This window comes from Homo sapiens, chromosome 11 (assembly GCF_000001405.40).
Source record: "Homo sapiens chromosome 11, GRCh38.p14 Primary Assembly".
NCBI lineage: Eukaryota > Metazoa > Chordata > Mammalia > Primates > Hominidae > Homo > Homo sapiens.
Window position 1 is genome coordinate 55,571,693 of NC_000011.10, and position 8,804 is coordinate 55,580,496.

The window sequence follows — 8,804 nt, forward strand, 5'->3', positions numbered from 1 at the left end:
AGCAGCTAAATATATCTTAAATGTTGAGTGATACACAACATAAAAAATGGCCCTCAGTATTTATTGAAAATTATAAAATGAAATTTAATATTAAAATGGATCATTACCTCTTACATTTACCTTCCTTGAATTGGAAAAATTAATCAGAATGATGCCAAAGCTAACCAAGGCTTGTACTTGAAGAATGCTATAGCAAGGTATCATGTTCATAAGCATATTTGAGAATCATAATAACCCTATGAAGTGGTCATTAAAATTTGGAAGAAAGTGTTGAAGTGGCTTATTAAGAAACCGCCACCAGAATGTATCCAATAAGAAATATTTAATTTTGCATAAAATATTCCATAACATCACATAGCACAGCATAAATTAATTCCTTTTTTTTTTGCAGGTAGACCATTTCACACTTGCCCCTTCACCTCACTCACGAAAACCATGCAACTGAATAATAATGTGACTGAGTTCATTCTGCTTGGATTGACACAGGATCCTTTTTGGAAGAAAATAGTGTTTGTTATTTTTTTGCGTCTCTACTTGGGAACACTGTTGGGTAATTTGCTAATCATTATTAGTGTCAAGACCAGCCAGGCACTTAAGAACCCAATGTTCTTCTTCCTTTTCTACTTATCCTTATCTGATACTTGCCTCTCTACTTCCATAACCCCTAGAATGATTGTGGATGCCCTTTTGAAGAAGACAACTATCTCCTTCAGCGAGTGCATGATCCAAGTCTTTTCATCCCATGTCTTTGGCTGCCTGGAGATCTTCATCCTCATCCTCACGGCTGTTGACCGCTATGTGGACATCTGTAAGCCCCTGCACTACATGACCATCATAAGCCAGTGGGTCTGTGGTGTTTTGATGGCTGTGGCCTGGGTGGGATCCTGTGTGCATTCTTTAGTTCAGATTTTTCTTGCCCTGAGTTTGCCATTCTGTGGCCCCAATGTGATCAATCACTGTTTCTGTGACTTGCAGCCCTTGTTGAAACAAGCCTGTTCAGAAACCTATGTGGTTAACCTACTCCTGGTTTCCAATAGTGGGGCCATTTGTGCAGTGAGTTATGTCATGCTAATATTCTCCTATGTCATCTTCTTGCATTCTCTGAGAAACCACAGTGCTGAAGTGATAAAGAAAGCACTTTCCACATGTGTCTCCCACATCATTGTGGTCATCTTGTTCTTTGGACCTTGCATATTTATGTACACATGCCTTGCAACCGTATTCCCCATGGATAAGATGATAGCTGTATTTTATACAGTTGGAACATCTTTTCTCAACCCTGTGATTTACACGCTGAAGAATACAGAAGTGAAAAGTGCCATGAGGAAGCTTTGGAGCAAGAAATTGATCACAGATGACAAAAGATAAATGAAGGTTTCAAATCCTTCTTTATAGTTTGGAGTGACCTAGAAGAAATCAATGAGAATATTATATTTTTATTGTTGATTTAATGTAATCCTGCCTTGGTACATGAGGATTAGTTCCTTTGGGAAAAGAGACAGTGTAAACAAATAACAATGGTTAATGTTGAGTCAGTTTTATGTGGCAGAAAAGACAGCATGCAATACAAACTAGTATGTAAAGCTCATTGCCTTCAGTGCTATTCACTCCTGTGTCTCTGGTCCTCCTGCCTGCTTAGTGTCACTTATGGTTTAGGTCTGTAGTTTGCCTGTTCTTCTCCATGTTGACTTCTGGAATTCCCTGCTAATATTTACCCATCTAAATATAAACAGTCCAATAGGATTTTTCCCCTTCTTAATGGTTTTCTTTATTAGACACATTGGATTCTTCATACCTCATGATCAACTTAGTTGTTCTTCCTGACTCAACAGGAAGTACCATATTTCAGTAATTGTAGGAGCTTCATGTTGCAAGAGACAATATATATGACCTAGGAAATCTCCCTTCCAATTTTTTGAGCTGTATGCTGAAATCTTTCTATAAGTTTACCTAGATACTTCTAAAACCATGACAGAACAAAGAAAGAAAATTTACCCTTCTGAAAGAGTTCTTGATCTTAGGAAGACTCTCACAGTTTGTGTTGTAGTCATGTAATTATTCTTTTTGTAAAATGACTTTATGGTCCTAATTGATCCCTTCTAATTTTGGGGACTGGTTTGCTTTACTACATTTGGCCTGATTATTTGTATATAGTGCAGGAAGAATAATTATTCTTTTACAAATGCTTTTAAATTGGCTTTGATGGAACTTAGTTCCATAGAAGAAATTTCAGGTGAGACTTTTTAAAAACTGAGGCCAGCCAAGGATTTGTGCCATCAAACATCTATGAGTTGGGTGATCCTCTACTCTTGAGGTTCCAAGATAAACTTGGGGCTTGTCAACATGTCAGAAAGTGACATTCTTACCACATGTTAAGAACCCTGTACAGAAACTGTGTGGACAAAGGTGATATAAGGCCAGTTTCCCAAGCGGATTTATTGGCTCCTTAAGTCAAGTTTGATTCCTTAAAGAAACAGGCACCATTCCAGTTAAAACCTTGGTAAAATAACCAGTTACTCCAATCGTGTCATGTTATAAATGAAAACAGATGCTTATTACACTTATGTAAATAACTGTACTGCCATAAATTAAGACTACACACAAATAGTTTCCAAATTCTGGAGAAATTAGTTAGAGAGGAACAAATATGCTCCAAATTTTTTCATAGGAGTATACTAAATTGTTAAAAGCTGTTACTAGCTCCAAAGAAAATTTTTAAGACCTCAAAGACAAAACACAGGATTAGCAAACACTTTAGGCAAAAAGTCTAATAGATTGGTTCAGTCGATGTAGTTAATTCCTGTTCTGCTTGATAGTCATGAATATTTTAGCACTCCATGATCCCTGAAAGTTTTTCCTCTATTCTGATGTCACAATTTCCAAAGTTGTTAGAAAACTCCATTCACTAGCACCTGTTAGAGTTTTATAGTTGATTATAAAACAACCTTTTAAAGAGGACCAAAACAAGACAACAAGTGTCCATGAACGAAAAAAAGTTTTAAGGCAGCCATTAGTCAAACATACAATTGACAAGAAAATTTGTTACTCCTAAGGCACATGGTAATTTTAACATAATAGTTATGATTATTACAGATAATATACACTAAGTCATATCAGAATTACAGGACTTTGCCATAATTTTAAAACACATGCCTATAACATATTGATATAAATACAGCCCAAAGAAAAGCAAACACCATTTCATATTTGAAAATGCTTCCATATAATTTTTATACCAAATAAGCCAAATATATCATTTTTGGACTTTAGGGAAACTAATATCTTAAAAAATTAGTCAGATCAAAAAAAGATATAATTTATAATTTTATTTTGGAACATTCATCAAATATAAAAGTTTAAAACACTTCATATCTCAAAATAGGATTACAGGTCATTGTAAATTCATTCATGTAACCAAAGTGATAACTCAATAATTTCCAAAAAAAGCAAAAACCTACATTGTATGAGAGAGGAGACTTAATTTTCCTAACAAGAATCCCTAATAAAAACAACATGAAGCCAATTAAATGTTTTTCAAAATTTTGTAAACAATCTATAAAATTTAATCTTGATTATAAAATATAACTCCCATAAGTTTTTAATAACCTTTATCACCTTTATTAAAAAGTTGGCTAATCCTTGAAGAAAACCTTGTTAATCTGACACAGAGATCCATATGCTGTTCTTGCATGAGTGTGCCTTTGACGTTAATGACTGATTTATAGAGAACCTCAACCTATTTGGTCTCTGAAAATCAGCCCTTAAAATCTCACATGCCCACCTCTTCCATGAAAGTCCCCGGGCCTTGAGGAGTTGAATGAGTTTAATTTTTGGCCCTGTGTCTTAGCAATGCAGTTTATTTTGATTGGTATCTTCTATGAGGTCTGAAGGTGAGGCTTTAATTTTTGTCGCTGTTTAAGATTTAGCATGTCTTGGTGTTCTTTTTAGACTCAGGAGTCAAATCCCTGTAACTCAATGTAAAAAGGACTTTAGAAACTTATACAGGAAGATACATGGATGTAATAACCTTAATTTAAAAAAAATTTCAGGTTTGTTTATAAGCAAACCAAAACTTAATCATTATATGACTACTTGATCTGCTAATTTTTTAAAAATAAATCCTCTTATTGTGATTTACACTGACTGTTCATGACATACTTGGTATTTCTGGTTTGTCCCGAACATCCCTTCTTCTTAAACAACCAGTCATTTTATTTTAGGACTAAATTTAGCATATAAGATTTTTGTCATATAAAATTATTTCTGTAAGTTTTCTTAACACACAGACACACACAAATCACAAAATATCTCCTTATTTTTATAACTTTCTTTACATCTTTCTTTCTTCGTGGTTCCTTTATGTTGGAGTGATAAGACCCACCACCATGTCATGGGGACTACCAAGTCTGGCGGAGTCAAAGAAATGAGACAAGACAAGTTAAGAGTACATAGAGTGGGTCCAGGGGGCCAACGTCAGTTTGGGGGCTGTGAAGGCCCCAAGCTCTGGGAGCTCACAATATTTATTGGTAATCAAACAAAGAAGCATGTGGTGAGCACGTTCAGATGTGGGGGTAGACAAGTGAGGATGTGAGGATAGAAAGGTAGTGGTGCATCAAGCGTAGCTGTGACGGTTTAGCATATTTTCTGCTACTTGAAATAAGGGAGAACAGGTTCTTCTAATTCAAGATACAATCAATTTATGATCTTGGGAGAGCAAGGAGCAAGGGTCCAGTGAGTTTGGACACATTCCAGAGGCTACAAGAGGTTTTATGCCCTGTGCCCTGGGCTCTCTCCAAGCCACAAGGTGTTTTATGCCCTGGGTTTAGATTGTAGTGTGGAAGGGCAGCCTTCCAACTTTTGGCACAGAGCTTGGTGTTCCATAGGCCACAAGAGGTTTTAGACCCTGGACCCAGGACATGTTCCTAGACACTTTTACATTATGTCAGACAAGCAAGCCCTGCCTGTTTTATACATAACCTTGAAATAAGCTTTGAATTAGACAAAATTGGTTCTTCTTTTTTTTAAAAAGGACACACTTTTTTTTTGCAAGAATGTTTTCCTAAAATATATATTTATTGGAAAATACTCAAATAATAAAATATCTATTATGTAATATAATTTTAGGTTCTAAATTATGACACGTTTGTCTACAAGTATTTATCCCATTACATTCACAAAATTATTTTATTTTGTTTACCTGTATTATTTATGAAAACTGTCATAGTCATGATTTAAAGTTATGAAATCACCATTGCAAAAGGATAACTGAGACAGTGAAAAACATATTACCTAATTGACTCTACCTTGCTTCTAACATCTAAGCTGTCCTTGTTTATTTCTGGACTTCGAGTGGAACTTAGTTTATAGTTTAGTTTTGCAACAAAGATAATAACGGTATTTTCCCAAAGCAAATCTCCTTACTGTCTGTGGATGAGACTGCCTAAAGCCACAAGATTAAAAGTTATGGATGGCAGCCAAGACGGCCAAAAAGGAACAGATCCGGTCTACAGCTCCCAGCATGAGTGACGCAGAAGATGGGTGATTTCTGCATTTCCATCTAAAGTACCGGGTTCTTCTCACTGGGGAGTGCCAGACAATGGGCGCAGGATAGTGGGTGCAGGGCACCATTCATGAGCCGAAGCAGGGCAAAGAATTGCCTCACTCAGGAAGCACAAGGGGTCAGGGAGTTCCCTTTCCTATTCAAAGAAAGAGGTGACAGATGGCACCTGGAAAATCAGGTTACTCCCACCCTAATACTGAACTTTTCTGATGGGTTTAAAAAATGGTGCACCAGGAGATTATATCCCACACTGGACTCAGAGGGTCCAATGCCCATCGAATCTTGCTGATTGCTAGCGCAGCAGTCTGAGATCAAACTGCAAGGCGTCAGTGAGGGTAGGGGAGGGTCGCCCGCCATTGCCCAGGTTTTCTTAGGTAAACAAAGCAGCCGGGAAGCTCGAACTGGGTGGAGCCCACCACAGCTAAACGAGTCCTGCCTGCCTCTGTAGGCTCCACTTCTAGGGGCAGGACACAGACAAACAAAAAGACAGCAGTAACCTCTGCAGAATTAAATGTCCCTGTCTGACAGCTTTGAAGAGAGCAGTGGTTCTCCCAGCACGCAGCTGGAGATCTGAGAACAGGCAGAATGCCTCCTCAAGTGGGTCCCTGACCTTTGACCCCTGAGCAGACTAACTGGGAGGCACTCCCCAGTAGCGGCAGACTGACACCTCACATGGCCGGGTACTCCTCTGAGACAAAACTTCCAGAGGAAAGATCAGACAGCAGCATTCGCGATTCATGAAAATCCGCTGTTCTGCAGCCATCTCTGCTGATACCCAGGCAAACAGGGTCTGGAGTGGACCTCTAGCAAACTCCAACAGACCTGCAGCTGAGGGTCCTGTCTGTTAGAAGGAAAACTAACAAACAGAAAGGACATTCACACCAAAAACCCCTCTGTACGTCACGATCATCAAAGACCAAAGGTAGATAAAACCACAAAGATGGGGAAAAAACAGAGAAGAAAACTGGAAACTCTAAAAATCAGAGTGCCTCTCCTCCTCCAAAGGAACACAGCTCCTCACCAGCAACAGAACAAAGCTGGATGGAGAATGACTTTGACGAGTTGAGACAAGAAGGCTTCAGATGATCAAACTACACTGAGCTACAGGAGGAAATTCAAACCAAAGACAAAGAAGTTAAAACCTTTGAAAAAAATTTAGACGAATGTATAACTAGAATAACCAATAGAGAGAAGTGCTTAAAGGAGCTGATGGAGCTGAAAACCAAGGCTCAAGAACTATGTGAAGAATGCAGAAGCCTCAGGAGCCGATGCGATCAACTGGAAGAAAGGGTATCAGCGATGGAAGATGAAATGAATGAAATGAAGTGAGAATGGAAGTTTAGAGAAAAAAGAATAAAAAGAAATGAACAAAGCTGCCAAGAAATATGGGACAACGTGAAAAGACCAAATCTACATCTGATTGGTGTACCTGAAAGTGATGGGGAGAATGGAACCCAGTAGGAAAACACTCTGCAGGATATTATCCAGGAGAACTTCCCCAATCTAACAAGACAGGCCAACATTCAGATTCAGGAAATACAGAGAATGTCACAAAGATACTCCTCGAGAAGAGCAACTCAAAGACACATAATTGTCAGATTCACCAAAGTTGAAATGAAGGAAAAAAGGTTAAGGGCAGCCAGAGAGAAAGGTTGGGTTACCCACAAAGGGAAGCCCATCACACTAACAGCGGATCTGTTGGCAGAAACTCTACAAGCCAGAAGAGAGTGGGGGCCAATATTCAACATTCTTAAAGAAAAGAATTTTCAACCCAGAATTTCATATCCAGCCAAACTAAGCTTCATAAGTGAAGGAGAAATAAAATACTTTACAGAGAAGCAAATGCTGAGAGATTTTGTTACCACCGGGACTGCCCTAAAAGAGCTCCTGAAGAAAGCACTAAACATGGAAAGAAAAAACCGGCACCAGCCACTGCAAAATCATGCCAAATTGTAGAGACCATCGAGGCTAGGAAGAAACTGCATCAACTAATGAGCAAAATAACCAGCTAACATCATAATGACAGGATCCAATTCACACATAACACTATTAACTTTAAATGTAAATGGACTAAATGCTCCAATTAAAAGACACAGACTGGCAAATTGGATAAAGAGTCAAGACCATCAGTGTGCTGTATTCAGGAAAACCATCCCACGTGCAGAGACACACATAGGCAAGAAATAAAAGGATGAAGGAAGATCTACCAAGCAAATGGAAAACAAAAAAAGGCAGAGGTTGCAATCTTAGTAACTGATAAAACAGACTTTAAACAAACAAAGATCAAAAGAGACAAAGAAGGCCGTTACATAATGGTAAGGGGATCAATTCAACAAGAAGAGTTAACTATCCTAAATATATATGCACCCCACACAGGAGCACCCAGATTCATAAAGCAAGTCCTGAGTGACCTACAAAGAGACTTAGACTCCCACAGAATAATAATGGGAGACTTTAACACCCCACTGTCAACATTAGACAGATCAACGAGACAGAAAGTTAAAAAGGATATCCAGGAATTGAAGTCAGCTCTGCACCAAGTGGACCTAATAGACTTCCACAGAACTCCCCACCCCAAATCAACAGAATATACATTCTTCTCAGCACCACACCACACTTATTCCAAAATTGACCACATAGTTGGAAGTAAAGCTCTCCTCAACAAATGTAAAAAAAGAGAAATAATAACAAACTGTCTCTCAGACTACAGTGCAATCAAACTAGAACTCGGGATTAAGAAACTCATTCAAAACTGCTCATATACGTGGAAACTAAACAACCTGCTCCTGAATGACTACTGGGTATATAACGAAATGAACGCAGAAAAAAAGATGTTCTTTGAAACCAACGAGAACAAAGACACAACATACCACAATGTCTGGGAAACATTCAAAGCAGTATGTACAGGGAAACTTATAGCACTAAATGCCCACAGGAGAAAGCAGGAAAGATCTAAAATTGACACATTAACATCACAGTTAAAAGAACGAGAGAAGCAAGAGCAAACACATTCAAAAGCTAGCAGAAGGCAAGAAATAACTAAGATCAGAGCAGAACTGAAGGAAATGGAGACACAAAAAACCCTTCAAAAAAATCAATGAATCCAGGAGCTGGTGTTTTGAAAAGATCAACAAAATTGATAGACCACTAGCAAGACTAATAAGGAAGAAAAGAGAGAAGAATCAAATAGACACAATAAAAAATGATAAAGGGGTTATCACCACCGATCCCATAGAAATAAAAA

At 38.2% G+C, this 8,804-nt stretch overlaps 1 protein-coding gene across 1 annotated transcript; it reads left to right on the top strand.

Annotated features, from left to right (window-relative positions):
• The first annotated feature begins 435 nt into the window (after nucleotides 1-435).
• OR4C16 (olfactory receptor family 4 subfamily C member 16) lies at nucleotides 436-1,368 on the top strand. Its single transcript, NM_001004701.2, has one exon. It carries the CDS (start codon nucleotides 436-438, stop codon nucleotides 1,366-1,368), a length of 933 nt encoding a protein of 310 aa, NP_001004701.2.
• The last annotated feature ends 7,436 nt before the right edge of the window (nucleotides 1,369-8,804 follow it).